Source organism: Homo sapiens, chromosome 9, assembly GCF_000001405.40.
Source record: "Homo sapiens chromosome 9, GRCh38.p14 Primary Assembly".
NCBI classification, from domain to species: domain Eukaryota; kingdom Metazoa; phylum Chordata; class Mammalia; order Primates; family Hominidae; genus Homo; species Homo sapiens.
The window spans coordinates 35,087,803-35,103,973 of NC_000009.12; the positions used below are offsets into that span (position 1 = coordinate 35,087,803).

Below are 16,171 nucleotides of genomic sequence, written 5' to 3' on the forward strand. Positions count from 1 at the left end.
GCCTGGACAATAGAGCAAAAATATGTCTTTAAAATGATAGTAACAATAAAAATAATTTCAATTCTTCCCTTAGCTACCTACCACAGCAGTGAACGTTTATACTTCACAACCACTACTACTCAGCTTCTCTACTTTATGCCAGCTAAAAGTAGGTGCTATCCCATGGTTTTAACATCTGTTCTGTTTTTCAGTGGTATCAGCTCCTCTTGTTCTAGGTACTGTCAAACCTCAAATCCCAGTCCTGATGCTTCTCTCCAGGGCCTCTTCCCAACTCTTTTGATGGACATCTCTAGGAGGATTTCATGCCAGCATTTCAAACATGACAGGAGTGCTGGGGTGAACAGAGGGCACAAAACATACACATGAGAAAAGAACCAGTGGATTCACACAATTTTGGCTTCAAGTCAGGAATAATGAATGGGACAAGGTGGAATGCTACATAAGATGGGCATGTAGATCTGATAAAGAGTGGCACAGGTTGGGAAACAAGGGAGGCTTCCACAGAAGGGAAGGGCAAAGGGTGTTCTATAGTGAAAAGGCCCAGTGGAGCGGGGGCATAGCACTATTTGGGGCTTCAGACAGTTAAAGTCGGTGCTGCATGATGCCTGGGCTTGTCTTCTCAGTCTTCTCTCTTTATCAGACAAAGAACAGGAACTTAACAAAATGTGTTGCATGGCAAAGGAAAATAGCGGTGGGATAATAGGATTGATTTGGGAAGAGGTGGAGGCAGTGAATTCAGACAACTCCAACCACTTCATAAAGGTTCTCAGGTGCAGCCAGGCTTTCCTAAGATGACTGATCTCATCTGTGCCTGGTGGCAGGAGAGACTGATCCTCCTCACAACCCCTATAGAACAGTGGGGCTCCCCCACATCTCAGACACACATAATTATATTATCATTTTATTACACTTTTTTTTAAATAGTAGAGACGGGGTCTTGTTATGTTCCACAGGCTGGTCTTGAACTCCTGGGACCAAGCAATCCTCCCACCTCTGCCTCCCAAAGTGCTGGGATTATAGGTGCAAGTCACCACGCCCGGCCTATTTTATTCCACTTCGGAGACCGCCCCCCTTGTCCCTCAGATGCATCCAAATCAGGAGTTAGGGATCATACTCCACTGTGGTCCTGAATTATAGAATAATGAAGTCCTAGATGTCAGCGGCCCCTGGCTGCATGATAGTAAGAGTATGGCTGAGCCTGTCTTGCAGATCATCCAGTACCTGTACAGGCCAGGCTACACTGTTCTCAAGCACTCTCTGTAGCCAAGTGCCAGTAATCACAGACTAGGCTACCTCTGCTGGGCCAGAAATAGCTGCCTGAACCAGGAGCTCACAGCACCATCCACTCTCATCACCAAAGCTATGCCCAGGAGAAGTCCCACGCTGCTCACAATGAAGCCCACAGCCTCAAATATGAACCTGCAAAGAAAGGCGGAGAATCTCAGGCAACAGAGTAGGTCTACTGCCTTTTCCCTGTAGAGGCAAAACCTTGGCCATCCTGGATGTTTAGGATCTTCATACTTTGTTCCAAGTTTCTCCCTCCCCACCACCTCTACTTCTCAAGCAAATCTACTCACTTAGGGGCAAACACTTTCCAGACCATGAGATGCCTGCGAAGGATGGAGGCTGCCAAGGCACAGGCCAGAATCTAGAGGAGGAGAGGAGGGGCCACGTTACTTGTGAAGGAGAGGAGGAAGCGGAGCAAAAGGAGAGTTTCTATAGGCCCCTGTAAAAAATGGAAGCAGGAGAATAGTGCATGTCAGTGGAAAAAATATTGCATGTCCTGGGCTAGGAGTTAGGAGACCTACTTCCTGCCCTGCCCCAAGCACTGACTCACTATGTGACTTTGGGCAAGTCAGTATCCATCTGCAATGCTAACACTCAGGCTGTGCCCCCAGGATGGAGGAAGATATCAGTGCCACATCTGCCTCTGGAGGAAAGGAAGAGGATCCATGACCACAGTTTGGGAAGAAAATCCTGGCTATCACCTCAGTTTTTCCAGTCTGTCCACTGATAGAGTAATCCTCAAATGCAACTAGCGGGGTCCAGATCTAGGTTGTAGAGGGGAAATGATCCAGGACTAGGATTAAGGAGACCCAGGTTCAAGTCTCAGAACTGCCATTTGAGGCCACTGGGCTTGGGCAACCACTTCACTTATGTGAAACTCAGTCAAGGCTCTCTCCCACGGTTTTGAAGGTCTGAAAGAAAGTGATGCACACACAGAGAAAAAACACCAACTCCCTGATCTCTCTCCTACACCCACCTGAATACCAAGGATAAAGAGGTACTTGAGGCCCAGCTGCAGCAGTGCTGCATAGAAGTGCTGAGGCGCATCCCGGAGCCGCATCTCCATCAGTGGCTCCTCTTCCTCCTCGGGTCTGACTCTGGCATCAGCTTCATTCCCTGGGGGCTGCTGTCTCTTCCGCAGCCCTTGACTCTCACACAGGAAAGGCCAGAGCAGGAGCAGTGGGCAACCTACTGCCTCAAGAGAGGGTATGGCTGGAATCAACAGGCCACCCTGGCTGGCTCAGGTTCCAATTAGCCTAGGCCAAGGGGTGCCAAAGATCCAACAAACCCATATCTCTCCATTCAAATCCAGGGGTTTCCTTTCTTTCCACAAAGCCAGAGTAAACAATGGAAGCAAGTGAAGGAGGAGGGGGTACCTGCAAAGAGGAGGTGGGAGGCAAAGGTGTTGGCTCCCACTAGCAAAGCAGGCAGCCAAGTACAGGAGCCATGACCCTCTGGGAATCCCACGAAGGCTGCATGCCAATGGATGGCTGGAAAGACAGGCTGGTGGCCTGTGGAGTAGAAGGTCTGTGTGGCCATGAGGGCCCAAGCCGAGACTGCCTGCCATGGCACAGTAAAAGGACCTGGAAGAAAAGATATGCCACGTTACAGTCACTTCTTATTCCCTAATCCATAGGCTACTGCTCCACAATCATATACTCCTACTACTTCAGTATCAATTCTCATACACACTCAAATGCCTATCAGCCCAACCTCCTTACAGTCAACATTCTGTTATTCTAATTCTCTCTGTGGTACAAAAGCGCCATCAGGCTTATCTGAATCCTGCTATGGCCAATCTCTTTCTTTCTCTCAAACACATACAGCTCAGTGCCATTATATATTCACAATTTACTACTTCCATCACTGGAAAATCAAGAAATGTGCTCATGAGGATGCAGCATTTCCACAGGGAGTCTTAGAGGACTCCTTGTCTCTCCTCTCCATGAACCCTGGGAACCAACAGGAGGGATCAATTTGCTTGGCTATGGCAGGTAAGAGAGAGGACACCAAGAAGACCTTCCTAGTTGTGTGGGGCATGGGACCCTCTGTCAAGCTCAGGAACATGAGGAGCAACACCTCCTTGAAAACAAGAGGGGCCGAACTCACATCACTATTGTCTTTAAGTGAATCAGAGCTGAGATATTTACCAGGGGTGGTGACGGGTATCCCAGCAGCAAGCAGATGTAGGAGAAGGAAGCTCTGCAGAAACAGAAGCAGGAACACAAGGCTGATGCGCTCCGCATGCAACAGCAGAAGTGGGAAGGCCAACAGGGTGAGGGCTGTGACCATAGCAGCTGAGTAGACACTCCCCAACTGATAAGCAGCCACAGTCAGGGGACCCTGAGATTTGGTCCTCTCTAACCGGCCCCGGAACTCCTCCTGCATGTGTCGGTAGATTTGAGGGACCACATAATCCAAGTCAGCTTGAGAAGTGGGGGGGCCTGAGAAGGGAGTGAGGACAGTCCTGGTCCTTGGAGCGCCTGCCCCAGCCTTCACCAGCACTGTCACAGGCTTCCAGAGCAGCAGCGCGAGCCCTGAAGCAGCCAGCCCTGCTACAGCCCGAGGCAGCACCATGGATGCCCCAGAGACCAGGACCCGGAGACGGGGGGGAGCCTCATCTGCCCCCGACGCCAATGCCCAGTAGGCAGCAGTACCCAATGCCATTAGGGGCAGTCCCCAGCGCACAAAGAGCATGGGTGGCTCGGGGCTCTTGAGATTACCATAGCGGCGAAGCCACAAGCGCACGGCAGCTAACAGGGCCACCAGCGCCGCCACACAAGCTCCATACCACAAATTCTTGGCTCGACCACCCACCATGGATGCCAGAGGACTCAGCCAGGGAGAGGAGTGGCAAACAGGTGTCTCTTCAGGGCAACGATGAAAAAGCCCAGCTAGCCTTGTACATAAAAGCAACCCAATTCCAAGCCTCAGGGCATATGCACCATTGTGCCGTGGGGGGTTTGTTGTGGCTGAAGTGCCAAGGCGGGGCATTGTGAGTAGCTTAGGTGGAAGCAGCTGGCCCTCCCAGTGAAGCTGGACAACCAGGAGCAGGATGAATGAGCCCAAAAGGAAGGGGGTGGCCCTGGCCTCAGCTACAACAAAACTATCAGAGAAGAACACAGCCAAGCGAAACAGCAGGAGTAACAGGACGGGCCCAGGGATGGGAAACAGGGTTGCCAGGGGCCTCTTGGACCCCCAGCCAGCCCAGGCTTTCCACAGAAAAGGGAGGAATGAGCTCACTGCAGCCACAGCCCCTAGAAGCACTAGATCTAGCTTCAGCTCAATAGTTCCCAGGAGTCCAGCATACGCTATGGCCCCAACCAGGCCCCAGGCCACAGGTGTCAGGAGTAGAGGGCAGAATGGAAAGCCTGGGGATATTGCCCACTGAGATGCCAGCAGGCAGATAAAGCAGGAAGCAGCCAAGAGAGCAGTACCCCCCGCCATGCGGACCAGAGAGAAACGAGCCCAAGACTCGATGCACATGGCCCGAGCTCCCCGCAGGAACTGCTGCAGCTCAGCAATCACAGTCGGCAGTGTCGCCTCAGCCCCCTTGGGGCTCTGGAGAAGCCACTGGTAGTCAGCAGAGGCCTTGGAGAAGAGGTTCTGCAGCTGATGAAGCTCCTTAGCTTGAAGGTCCTGAGTAGCAGCTGAGTAGGTATGAAGAAATCGGGACACCTGGCAGAGAAAAGGTCAGAGGCCAAGGGGAACAGGTCAGAGACATAAATTGGGGCAGAGGCAAGAATAGGTATTACAAAAGGGGGTACCTGGAAGTCAAGGACCCAAACTCTGTCCAGAATCGGGGAAGGGAGGGATAACGGAAGAGGGATAGGTATGGAAGGTGGGACTAAGACTAGTCAAAGGACAAAAGAGTGGTTCATTATGCTTCTTTCATGCCCACCCTAGCTCTGTCACCTGGAAACCCAGCCCGCTTACCTACCTGCTGAGCATTGAGATGGAGAGCTGAGGCTTGGGCTAAAGCAGAGGAGTGGGGCTGGGAGTCCTCACCCCCTGAGAATAGCTCAGCCATCACTTCCCCGATATTCCCAAATGGGATGGGCAGGCCCAGCAGCAGGGCCAGCGTGGGCACAAGGCTAACTTGAGGAATCACCTCTGGCTCCTAAAGGAAAATGACAGTGGTCAACAGATTCATCACAAAGCTGAAGTCAATGTTTGGGATGGCAGACATAGGGGCCTAGGTAAGAAATGAGAGTGGAGGATACCCAGGATCATGGATTTGGGGGCCTAAAATAGAGGTATTCATGAGGATGCTGTAATGGTAACATGGGCTGATTACTGGGAGAACAGATGAGGAACATCCCAGGCCTCACCTCTGGTGGGGTGCTGGGGAAGACTGCTGTGGGGCTATACAGAAAGAGAGCAGCTGAGACCTCCAGCTCACTGTCCCCTCCATGGTCTCCATTTGTGGTCATCCCATGGTCCCCAGCCACTACCAGCAGTGTGTCATTCTCCAGACGCTCCACAAGTCCCCTGGGGGCCAATAAATGTGTCAGGAGTAGAAACGGATAAATATTTTTCTCAAAAAGAAAAAAGATTTTTCTCCAGGGGCCTATTCATCCCCAGCTATAACTCCATTAGTAAGGCCTAGACCTTTGGCAAAGAGACATGTCTTCGGCCATGATCCTGATGCCCAAAGCTACACATTGAGTTAATCAAGATGGATGGAGCCTCTAGCTTCAGCAGAAGGCCTAGAGAAGACAGAATTCAGCCAGGAAAGAAGCTCTAAGATAAGAGCTTCTTCGAGATTCTCAGACACAAACCCACTCCCCCAGCCAATACCCCACACTCACTGGATCACCTGGTCCATCTGGCTAAGTTTCTTGGCCATTTCAGGGTGGTGAGGGCCATGCTTGTGGCCACAGTGGTCCACACCCAGGAAGTGAGCAATCAGCACGTCCCATTCACCACTGTCCACTGTGAAGGGGAGAACACTGAGCACAGAAGACTAAGACCCACTCCTCAACCCCAGCCAGGCTTTGACACTCCTCTATGTCCAGGGATACAAGCCCAGGCTGTTACACCCATAGGTGGCTCAGAATTTGTGGACTAAAGCAGTTCTCCCCAGCTCCCAGTCTTAGAACTAAGTGCTCTGGCCCCATGCTCACTGGTGGGGTAGAGGTGTTCCAGGATGCCATTGTCCACTGTGTCTAGGTCTCTGACATTGAAGGATGGGAAGAAGAAAGCTTTGGAGAAAGCACCAGGGAAAAGGTCTTTCCAGGTATCATCTCCCATGAAGACTACACGCCTTCCTGCAGGGACATGAAAGAGAAGTCAGAGCCTGAGCAAACGTCAGGGTTAGGAGAAAAGAGGAAAAGAGGCCCTTTAAAGACCCATCAGAAGTCCCAACCATGCAACCTAAAGTACAGCAATTCCATACAGCAATCCTTATCCTTCAGGGCCTAACATTTTCCACCAGGAAGCTTTCCCTGATAACCGTACTCCACCCAGACCTCACACTTATCCTTCCTACAAAATGCTCTCCTAGTTCTGTCTCTGGGTATCTCTACTGAGTTGTTTTTCCTGGGTGTATCCTGCTTCTTCCCAGTCAGTGAATGAACAGGGCCTGTATTTCTCTGCTTTCTTCTCCACACTTGCAAGCCAAGATCCACATCTTCTCTTCTTCCCTTCTCCCTTTTACTGAGAGGTCTCCAAGAATAAAACTTACACTCCATTCAGATTAGAAGCTTCATAGGAACAAAGCCCAGATCCCTTCTCCTCTGTCTCCCAAACTGAGCTCCCTACCAGCAGGGCCCTGGCCTCTTTCTTCTCCTCTGTCCCCCAAACTGAGCTCCCTACCAGCAGGGCCCTGGCCTCTTTCTTCTCCTCTGTCCCCCTACACCATAATCAAGTGTGCATCTGGGCACCCAAAGGTCTGACTCCCTGACTTCAAATTTTGAAGAAATTTGCCAAGGTACTTCTGGCCTTCAAAGTGGCCCACACTGACCTGCACTGGTGAGCTGCTTAATGAGATTGTCTTCCACTATGGCGTGGCTGGCGAAGTTACTACCAGCATCAATAAAGGTAGGCAGTGAGCCAGTGGTGAGGGCCTTGAGGCGCTGCATGGTGGTGGTAGGAGGGTCAACCTGAGATCGGTAGAGCCGGGCATGGTGGGGCTGAATCTCCAGGATCCTCTGCAAGGAGCTTAGTTTGCCCAGGAAGGGTAGGGAGACAGGAGGCTCTCTAGGCACGTGTGAATGCTGGGGCTGGGCGAAGTCAAATCGCAGAGCATCTATCAGCACCAACACAACCCGCGAAAATCGGGAAGCCATCCAGCAGGCCCCAGGTTTCCCTTGGCTCCCCCATGGCAGGGACCCAGGGCCTGGGGGCTCTTGGCAGCTGCTATGGTTGGTGAGCTCCAAACGGGTGAGCAGGAAGCCACTGGTGAAGAGGGCAATGCCAGCGTAGAAGAGGAAGCAGACCCAGGCCAGGAAGAGCAACACTGAGGCTTTCTGCATCCTGATAGGGGTGGGGAAGTAAATTCATTACTGTGGGGCAAAGAACCAGTGGATATTCTGGTCCCTGAATACAAGCCCAGCTAGAATCACTTCCTCCCGGAAACCTTCCTGGAGATAAACCATTTCACAGCCAACCCCTCGCAATATTACTCTCCTCCTATTTCCAGGCTGGGCATGGTGGCTCACGCCTGTAATCCCAGCACTTTGGGAGGCCGAGGCGGGCGGATCACCTGAGGTGAGGAGTTCGAGACCAGCCTGGCCAAAATGGCGAAACCCCGTCCCTACTAAAAATACAAAAATGGGTGGCGGGCACCTGTAGTCTCAGCTACTGGGGAGGCTGACGCAGGAGAATCGCTTGAATCGGGGAGGCGGAGGTTGCAGTGAGCCGAGATTGAACCACTGCACTAGAGTCTGGACAACAGAGGGAGACGCCGTTTCATGAGGTCCCACCCCAGATCTACTGAATCAGGATCTTCGAGGGGTAGAGCATAGGAACGTTCACATGTACAGGCAGGAAATGCTAATGCTGCCTGTACATGTGAACAGTCAGGAGGGAAACTTATTCCAATTGGTAGTCAGGCTCTCTTACACGCCGTTTCTGCGCCTCTCCCCTCGCCAATCTCAATACCCAGTGGAAAGGGATCGAAGCCGCAGGGGAATCCGGGCCCAGCCGACGGCGCCGCCTGGCGGGCACCGAGGGGACGAAGGGGAGGAGTCACTCTCCGCTTCCGGGCGGCCAGGTTCGCCAGGAGACCTGAGGCACGACCTTCGCCACGCAAGGAGGCTGGGGCCCGGGTCGAGAGTCGACTGGGCCTCCGCTGGGACCCAGGCGTGCGACCGGCTCTGCCTCCTCCGGTAACTACCCAGCCTCCCGCTGGGCACCCTAGCCGCGGTACTGAGCACCTTGGTTAGGAGCTGAGGGGAAGAGGGAGACTCCCTTACTTCAGGGTGAGGGGAATACCGGGGGGTGAGGTTCTCGGGAGACCCTGGCTCACCTGCAATGGCACCCGGAAGTGCGGCGGCGGCGGCGCCTGCGACCTGGCAGCACAGAGATGCGTGCGCCAGACAGAGTGGCCCGTCGGTGGCTCCATCGCCATCTGCCGGCACCTCGGTGGAAGTTTGGCCAGGAGCGTGGGGCTGGCCCCAGTTTGATGGGATATTTAGTAATTGAAAATTGGGGACAGGGGACCAAGCTGGAGGAAGAGTTCAGGGAACCACTGTCCATTCATGGTTACGACTAAGAGCACGGCTGCTGGAGTCAAACTTGACTTGAATCCTAGCTTGGCCGCACATATTGTCATCATTAGGCATTACCTCATCTGTAAAATGGAGATAATACTTATTTTCCCTTTTTTGCTTAGCTGAGTCCAACTGAGATTTCATTACTCCTCCTTTCAAAGCCTGTAACTAAATCTTACGACTGAATAATTAAGCAAATAATCCTTCGGAGTGGAGGAGGGGAGGCTGGGCCCAGTGGTTCACACCTGTAATCCCAGCACTTTGGGAGGTCAAGGCAGGTGGATCACCTAAGGTCAGGAGTTCAAGACCAGCCCGGCCAATATGACGAAACGCCGTCTCTACTGAAAATACAAAAGTTACCCGGGAGTGGTGGCGGGCGCCTGTGATCCCAGATACCTGGGAGGCTGAGGCAGGAGAATCACTCGAACCCAGGAGGCAGAGGTTGCAGTGAGCCGAGATTGCACCACTGCACTCCAGCCTGGGCAACAGAGCAAGACTCCCTCTCAAAAAAAAAAAAAAAAATGCCAGGCACGATGACTCACACCTGTAAGCCCAGCACTTTGGGAGGCTGAGGCTGGAGAATCAGTTGAAGTCAGGAATTGGAGACCAGCCTGGCCAACATGCTGAAACCCCAACTCTACTAAAAATTACAAAATTTAGCCAGGCGTGGCGATGTGTACCTGTAGTCCCAGCTACTGAGGAGGCTGAGACTGGACAATTGCTTGAAGCCAGGAGGCAGAGGCTACAGTGAGCTGAGATCGTGCTACTGCACTCCAGCCTAGGCAACAGAGCAAGACTCTGTCTCAAAAAGAAACAAAACCCGTCCACTGGTTTCTCATCTCAGAGTAAAAGTTCTTGCATTGGCTCTACATGGCCCTGCACACTATCTGCCTCTTCCCCTTCTGATTCATCTAGCTGCCACTTCTTTGCTTCCCTAACTCTGTTCCATCCACAGCAGTTCTGCCTCAGGACCTTTGCATTTGCCATCTCCTCTGTCAGCTTCAGTTCCCGATGCCGAAATGGATCTCCATCACCTTCATATTGAAGCTCAACTGTAACATCAGCAAGGCTTCCTGCAATCCCCTACTTTACTAGTTCAGCACCTCCCACCACCACACCCCCTGGAAAAATTTCCCCTCACTTCCTTAATTTCTTCCATAGCACAACTCATCAGCATCTGAAATTCTACACGTATTTATGGTTTATCCCCTCCGAGTAGAATGTGAGCTCATTGAGGTCAGGGAATTCTGTTTTCTTCATGATATCCTCAGCACCTAGCATATATTTGAGGTTCACATACTGACCAAACGAATAAAGGAATATGTTAATTTTTAAAAAAAGTTGAGTTATTCTTCCACCTTCATCCCCATAGCCCCTTATCTCAGTTCAGACCTCATCCCTTCTCCAGGATCACTGAGGCAGCCTTCTCACTGTCCTCCCAGCCTCCTGTGTCTCCCTACTATCCCTTCTCCACATTGCAGCAAGACAGCTCTAACTAAAACATTAATGTGATTACTGTTATTTTTTTCTTTTTTGTAGAGATAGGGTCTTACCATGTTGCCCAGGCTGGTCAACTCCTGGGCTCAAGTGATCCTCCCACCTCAGCCTCCCAAAGTGCTGGGATCACAGGTATGAGTCACTGTGCCTGGCCAATGTGATGTTTTATCTTAAAATTCTTCATGGGAAGGGAAAAAAACCCTTCATAGGCCGGGCACAGTGGCTCACGCCTGTAATCCCAGCACTTTGGGAGGCTCAGGCGGGCAGATCACGAGGTCTGGAGTTCGAGATCAGCCTGACCAACATGGTGAAACCCTGTCTCTACAAAAAACAAAAAAATTAGCCAGGTATGGTGGCGCATGCCTGTAATCCCAGCTACTAAGGAGGCTGAGGCAGGAGAATTGCTTGAACCCGGGAGGCGGAGGTTGCAGTGAGCCGAGATCATGCCATTGCACTCCAGCCTGGACAACAGAGGGAGACGCTGTCTCAAACAAACAAACAAAAAAACCCTATTACCCTAGGGATAATGTCCAACCCCTTCAACAAGAATCTCATTCCTTGTGACTTGGCCCTTGCCATGTAGTCACATCCCCCTTAACACTATACCCTTCAGCCAACTTCTCTCAAGCAGTGAGCCTTTGTTTATTCTAGTCCAGGACCTGACTTGGTGAAAACTTGCTAACTTTTCCAGCCTGAGTTCAGTGGCAATCAGCAACGCTGCTACTCATAAGCTGATATGCTCTTCCCACCAAGATCCCTCAGCCAGAACTTTCCTCTACCACAGCATTTATCACTTTTTTTTTTTTTTTTAACAGAGTGTCTCACTGTTGCCAGGCTGGAGTGCAATGGCGTGATCACGGCTCACTGCAGCCTCCACCTCCCAGGTTCATGCAATTCTCCTGCCTCAGCCTCCCAAGCAACTGGGACTACCCGCACATGCTACCACGCCCAGCTAGTTTTTGTATTTTTAGTAGACGGGGTTTCACCATATTGGCCAGGATGGTCTCAATCTCCTGACCTCATGATCTGCACACCTCAGCCTCCCAAAGTGCTGGGATTACGGGTGTTGAGCCACCACGCCCGGCCACATTTATCACTTTCTATCACTGTCTGCTTCCTGTCTGTTTTCCCTACCTGACCTTGTATTCTGTGAAAGCAGGGACCACTGGGTTTCAGGTATTTTTGTAATCCAGTGTCTAGTAATGAGCTTGGCACTTGGTAGACATTCAATGTTTTTGAATAAATGAATGAGGAGCACCCTCAGTCCCTGAAAACCCTTTAAGTATGCCAGTGCAGGGTAGTAGTTTCTCATGAAAGTACTTCTTTCCCACGAAAAAACCCCCAAACACCTGCCTCAAACACACAGCCCCACACTTAGCAGGAAGGGGACTTCACTTCCCAGCCAGCAGTTCAGTGAACATATGGTTTAACACTTCCACCCTATCCCACAGTTTCTCTTGAAGACAAAAATGATAGTTTCACTTTACAAGAAGTTCACTCTTATTCATGGAGGCATCATGCTGACAGGACTGGATCCAAGGAAAATGCTAGTGACTTTCCCAACTTCATTCCCCAATCAAAGAGGACAGTTTCTGGTTTGCCACTGGTGAGTTTATTACACGACTAAAGTTCAAATAAAAAAATAAAAACCAAAATCTTGGCAGGGAAGCTAGAGCCAGAATCAGGAAAATCTGCTTCCTTGTTCCCAGACTCCCTGGCCAAGCCCAGCTCCACTAACTCATCTTGACTCGATCAAGTTCCTCATCAAGACTTGCATCTGTACCCTGGACATCTCTGCTGCTCCCACTGGAGAGTGAGTCTGGAGTCCCTGGCACTGGGGCTTTGGTGAGGGCTCCATATACACCCATGGCCTGAGGAGAGGAACAGAGAGAATACCATGAGGACACTTGACAGAGGTGCAGCCCAGCCTACCAATGGCTAAACGGGAAAAGATGGCATGGGGGCCAGTAAGTTGGTTTTCCTTTCTCCCTCTCTCAAACCTGTCTTGTAAGCTCTGGAGTTGATTTTAGGAATCTTGCAAACCATCAGAGTAAAGTGACTCTCAGAATACCAGCACAAGTATCTACCAAAAAAAGGTATCTCAAGAACTTCCATATTTGCAGGACTGAGTGGAGATGTTTCATTCTTAGATTCCATCTCTACAAAGAATGAAGGGAGGTCTAGGGCCAAGGCACTCTGAAGACCTTTATGGTATGTAAGTGTTGATGACGGTGGTGGGGTCTCAGTTTGGTCCCTGGCACCAGTGCTCTATGCTGGGTCCTCAGAGAGCTCTAACCTGAGCCACCATGCTGGTGACATCGCCAGGGTTGGAGGGCAGTAGGATAGTGTTGGAGTCCTTGGCCAGTTTGGAGAACGCGCTGACATACTGCTCGGCCACAGTCAGTGAAGCTGCTGCATCTCCATTCTGTGATCACAGGGGGATAAAAATCAGAGATCACCGATACGGAGAAGAAGGGGGGGATGGGGAATGAAGAAAGCAGTTCACAATAAAAAGGACCATGTAATCTGGCTCAACAGAGCCCACAGAGGCGGAACTCTCCTCAAGCGTAGATAAGAGAACCCCTTCCACTGTCAATTCCTGTCCCCATTCCCACCCAGGGGCCTCTCACATGTTGTGTCAGAGCTGCAGCCAGGATTCGAATAGCTTCAGCTTTAGCCTTGGCCTTCGCCAGAACTGCACTGGCCTCTCCTGCAAGAGAAGGGACAGAGCTTGCTTGACCCATGAAGTCAAAGTACCCCAAAGATCCTGCCCCAGCACCAATCTTCAAAGGCCCATGCCTTGCTCCTCCCTCAGCCTCTACCCTCTCCTGACCTGCTGCCTGATTTATCTGTTCAGCCTTTTCTGCTTCGGAGGCCAGGATCTGGGCCTGTTTCTTCCCTTCTGCCACATTGATGGCCGACTCTCGGGTCCCCTCAGACTCTAGAACTGTGGCCCGTTTCCGCCGCTCTGCCTCCACCTGGAAGCCCACAACAATCCCAATCAACAAGCCAAGGGAGACTGATACAGACATGCAACTCTACCCATCATAACAGGAGGGAAGTCTGGATCCTCCTGGTACTGGAGCACCCTGAGGCCCTTTTCCCACCCCTCCTTGGCCCCCACCTGCATCTGCATAGACTCTTTCACCCGGGGTGGCACATGGATATCCTTGATCTCATAACGGAGGCAGCGGATACCCCAGCAGTCAGCAGCTTGGTTGATGGCATCCACAATGCTGGCATTCAGGGACTCCCGTTCCTGGAAAAAGAGGTGTAAGCCCCACAGCCTCAACCTACCTATCAAGGGCCTACACTGAGAAGGGCCTGGGACTGATCTTGACCTTCAGAAAAGATTAAGAGTGTCAGGTTTGTGTCTTCAAACCCTAACTCTGGCTCAGATCTGCTTACCCGGAAGACTTTGTCCAGAGAGAGTTTGCCGAGCTCTGATCTCATGGTTGTTTGAGCTAGCTGGGTGACGGCATACTCAGGGTCCTCCACACCGTAGCTTGCCTGAGATGGACACGGATAGTGTAAGAAGCTTGGGCACAAGATTTTAGTGAAGAGGGCAACTCAAAAGGCTGGATAAAGTAGGGGACAGGTACCTTGTAAGGGTCCATGATGCGCAGGTAAAGGACTCCATCGATTTGCAGAGTTACATTGTCTGTAGAACCAGGAGAGAAAACGGGGAAAGTCAGGCCTCTAGGTCCCAACCAGTTCTTTCTACTAAGCTCTGGATCTACAGCAACCACATCCTAATAGCCTCAGAGCACCCATGTCACCCTGAACCCCTCACCGAGAGTCACAGCCGACTGCTCAGGCACGTTGATGACAATTTCCTTGAGACTCTGCACATATCGGATCCGGTCTAACACAGGGATGAGGATGTTCAAACCCTGGAAAGAGGAGTCATGGGTCCTCAGAAGGCTGGGAACTATTGGGTTGGGACCTAAGCTAGTCCTGGAGTATGTAGGGAGTCAACACATGGAACATGCCCAGAAAAGCAGCAGCTCCTACCAAGAAATAAGTCCTCAGAAGGCTGAGGTGTCACTGGTAAGAAAACCCAAGAGAACAGGAATGCAAGACTAGGCCCCTGAATGGAGGGGAGAGTCATGAGAATCGGAGCCAGCAGAATAGCCATCTCTATGCAGACTGAGAGGTAGGGCTGAGAGTGGGCAGGGGAGATTCCCAAGAATGGGGCCTGTGAGATGCATAGGAAAAGGTGGTAACATGGGGATGATGGTCAGCAGCCTGGGCCCTGTCAGGTCTGGCCTACAGAGTCGGGAGCTAACAGTGCGGGCAGGCCCAAAGGAAGTCCTCCCGACATTGCATGTCGTGAGGGATTGGTCATCTGGCTGGCCCAGGGTGGGCAGAAGAGGTTTCTCACAGGCTCCAGGATCCGGTGGAATCGGCCCATTCGCTCCACCACCCAGGCCTCCTGCTGCGGCACGAACAGTACCACGGTGTTTCGGGGCAATCCAGAGGAGGCGCGGCGCGGAGCGCGGCCAGAAGCCAGTAGAGAGCCCTGAAGGAAAGAAGAGGGTGAGCAGAGATCCCATCTGGCCAGACACGCCGCCCCTCGGTCCTGAAGGCATCTCCATAAACCACGACCCTCAGGATCCTCGGAGAATCACATGGGGACCATGACCTCTGACCCCAGTCCTCTCCAAAAGTTGGAATTTCGCTCTTTTCCAGCGGAGAACCCAGGTAATCTCTGTCCTGACCCTCTGGAAAGGTTGCCTCGCTCTCACCCTCAGCAAAAGGGCCCCAGTGCCCCGCGCCGCGCGCGCCAGCATTTCCCACCGCCGCAGCGACCTCCGGAACCAACGAGACGAGCGGAGCGGTCGCTCCCAGAAGCCTACCCGAGCCTTTCCTCTTGCAGTTCCGCTCCCCCGGATGTACTTCCGGCAGCTCCCTCCCCCGCTTCAACACTCACCCAATCAGCGTTACTTGGTCGAACGGCGCGTCAAGTTGTTCCCTGGGAAACGCAGACCTTCTAGAGAAGGGCGAAGGCTGTGGTTGTTCTGGGTTTAGCTGTTCACGCCGAAGATCCCCGGCCTGATGGCCAAAATGGAGGCTATTTTTCGCGGGCATTATCACTCAGACACCACGCACTGAATTATTCGTCCTCACCCGAGACTCAGTTTGCCCACCAGAGCGTAGTATCGCCCCCATCTGTCACCATAGCGACTAGTGGATTGGAGCTGACTCGTTGCCATGGTTGCCATAGTGATATTCTCTGGTAGTCCCGCTGTGTTGTGCCCAGGACTCCCACTGGGGACTGACCCCAATCCCGTTGCCATGGAAACTGGGCCTAATATTGCCTGGCGATTGGGCCGAGATTTTCCCCTCCCCTCTTTCCTCAAAGACACTGCAGCTCCTTCCCTGTCTTCCCAAGCAAGGTTTGTTATGCCCGGTCTTAAATACAGTCCAGCAAACAGCCTCAACGTTCAACCTTGTCTGGAGCATGTCACCTTGCCCACATCCCTAATGCTCTGGTAGTCAAGAGACCTCCGTAGTCACCTCCATTTTACATATGAGGGCACTGAAGTTCTGAGGGGCTAAAGTCATTAATAGAACCAGTATTAGAATCCTGATCTACAATTCAGAGTTCAGCTTCTACGGCTGAACTTTACCCACCAACCCCTCCGAAAGGAGAAAAACCAGGCCCCAGG

The 16,171-nt window shown here is 51.9% G+C and overlaps 2 protein-coding genes and 1 long non-coding RNA gene across 12 annotated transcripts, besides 5 other annotated features; 1 reads left to right on the forward strand and 2 right to left on the reverse strand.

Annotated features, from left to right (window-relative positions):
* On the reverse strand, positions 886 to 8,789 carry PIGO (phosphatidylinositol glycan anchor biosynthesis class O). Of its 5 annotated transcripts, NM_001201484.2 has the most exons (13): positions 8,353 to 8,789; positions 8,077 to 8,174; positions 7,253 to 7,764; positions 6,414 to 6,557; positions 6,099 to 6,222; positions 5,619 to 5,778; positions 5,228 to 5,407; positions 4,741 to 4,965; positions 3,438 to 3,489; positions 2,664 to 2,870; positions 2,264 to 2,478; positions 1,578 to 1,648; positions 886 to 1,419 (listed from the first exon to the last, which is right to left on the reverse strand). In NM_001201484.2, exons 3-13 carry the CDS (start codon positions 7,761 to 7,763, stop codon positions 1,290 to 1,292), a joined length of 2,019 nt encoding a protein of 672 aa, NP_001188413.1. In that variant the 5' UTR covers position 7,764; positions 8,077 to 8,174; positions 8,353 to 8,789; the 3' UTR covers positions 886 to 1,289. The 5 variants fall into 5 exon arrangements, with proteins under 5 accessions (NP_001188413.1, NP_690577.2, XP_005251676.1 ...); NM_152850.4 differs by lacking the exon at positions 8,077 to 8,174 and having other exon boundaries at positions 8,759 to 8,789; XM_005251619.4 differs by lacking the exon at positions 8,077 to 8,174 and having other exon boundaries at positions 3,438 to 4,965; positions 8,759 to 8,789.
* Positions 8,456 to 8,795: an enhancer, noted in NCBI's record as "active region_28320". NCBI's record gives its function as "activates an Ori minimal core promoter by ATAC-STARR-seq in GM12878 lymphoblastoid cells {active_cell/tissue: GM12878}" and the evidence as "EXISTENCE:reporter gene assay evidence [ECO:0000049][PMID:35858748]".
* Positions 8,502 to 15,950, forward strand: PIGO-AS1 (PIGO antisense RNA 1). 3 transcript variants are annotated; one of them, NR_186493.1, is made up of 3 exons: positions 8,502 to 8,618; positions 11,951 to 12,105; positions 12,209 to 15,950. It is a non-coding gene; the product is annotated as a PIGO antisense RNA 1 (long non-coding RNA). The 3 variants fall into 3 exon arrangements; NR_186492.1 differs by lacking the exons at positions 11,951 to 12,105; positions 12,209 to 15,950 and adding an exon at positions 11,315 to 11,778; NR_186491.1 differs by lacking the exons at positions 11,951 to 12,105; positions 12,209 to 15,950 and adding an exon at positions 9,958 to 10,342.
* STOML2 (stomatin like 2) lies at positions 11,974 to 15,393 on the reverse strand. 4 transcript variants are annotated; one of them, NM_001287032.1, is made up of 10 exons: positions 15,359 to 15,393; positions 14,884 to 15,021; positions 14,293 to 14,392; positions 14,102 to 14,160; positions 13,908 to 14,009; positions 13,624 to 13,758; positions 13,333 to 13,477; positions 13,130 to 13,209; positions 12,796 to 12,924; positions 11,974 to 12,370 (listed from the first exon to the last, which is right to left on the reverse strand). In NM_001287032.1, exons 2-10 carry the CDS (start codon positions 14,911 to 14,913, stop codon positions 12,233 to 12,235), a joined length of 918 nt encoding a protein of 305 aa, NP_001273961.1. In that variant the 5' UTR covers positions 14,914 to 15,021; positions 15,359 to 15,393; the 3' UTR covers positions 11,974 to 12,232. The 4 variants fall into 4 exon arrangements, with proteins under 4 accessions (NP_001273961.1, NP_038470.1, NP_001273962.1 ...); NM_013442.3 differs by lacking the exon at positions 15,359 to 15,393 and adding an exon at positions 15,248 to 15,329 and having other exon boundaries at positions 11,976 to 12,370; NM_001287033.2 differs by lacking the exons at positions 14,884 to 15,021; positions 15,359 to 15,393 and adding an exon at positions 15,248 to 15,329 and having other exon boundaries at positions 11,976 to 12,370.
* Positions 14,707 to 14,966: an enhancer, noted in NCBI's record as "active region_28321". NCBI's record gives its function as "activates an Ori minimal core promoter by ATAC-STARR-seq in GM12878 lymphoblastoid cells {active_cell/tissue: GM12878}" and the evidence as "EXISTENCE:reporter gene assay evidence [ECO:0000049][PMID:35858748]".
* Positions 15,097 to 15,366: an enhancer, noted in NCBI's record as "active region_28322". NCBI's record gives its function as "activates an Ori minimal core promoter by ATAC-STARR-seq in GM12878 lymphoblastoid cells {active_cell/tissue: GM12878}" and the evidence as "EXISTENCE:reporter gene assay evidence [ECO:0000049][PMID:35858748]".
* Positions 15,377 to 15,426: an enhancer, noted in NCBI's record as "active region_28323". NCBI's record gives its function as "activates an Ori minimal core promoter by ATAC-STARR-seq in GM12878 lymphoblastoid cells {active_cell/tissue: GM12878}" and the evidence as "EXISTENCE:reporter gene assay evidence [ECO:0000049][PMID:35858748]".
* Positions 15,547 to 15,596: an enhancer, noted in NCBI's record as "active region_28324". NCBI's record gives its function as "activates an Ori minimal core promoter by ATAC-STARR-seq in GM12878 lymphoblastoid cells {active_cell/tissue: GM12878}" and the evidence as "EXISTENCE:reporter gene assay evidence [ECO:0000049][PMID:35858748]".
* Positions 15,951 to 16,171: the final 221 nt, after the last annotated feature.

Excerpts from the sequence above, each read along its gene's own strand:
- STOML2 (NM_013442.3), bottom strand. The coding sequence starts at position 15,292 with ATGCTGGCGCGCGCGGCGCGGGGCACTGGGGCCCTTTTGCTGAGG. Across the intron at positions 15,022-15,247 it reads CTGGGGCCCTTTTGCTGAGG|GGCTCTCTACTGGCTTCTGG; the intron begins GTGAGAGCGAGG and ends TCTTTCCTTCAG. Across the intron at positions 14,010-14,101 it reads GCATCATGGACCCTTACAAG|GCAAGCTACGGTGTGGAGGA; the intron begins GTACCTGTCCCC and ends TGTCCATCTCAG.
- PIGO (XM_005251619.4), bottom strand. The coding sequence starts at position 7,763 with ATGCAGAAAGCCTCAGTGTTGCTCTTCCTGGCCTGGGTCTGCTTCCTC. Across the intron at positions 4,966-5,227 it reads TCCATCTCAATGCTCAGCAG|GTGTCCCGATTTCTTCATAC; the intron begins GTAGGTAAGCGG and ends TTTCTCTGCCAG. Across the intron at positions 2,871-3,437 it reads GATACCCGTCACCACCCCTG|GTCCTTTTACTGTGCCATGG; the intron begins GTAAATATCTCA and ends CTTTTCTTCCAG.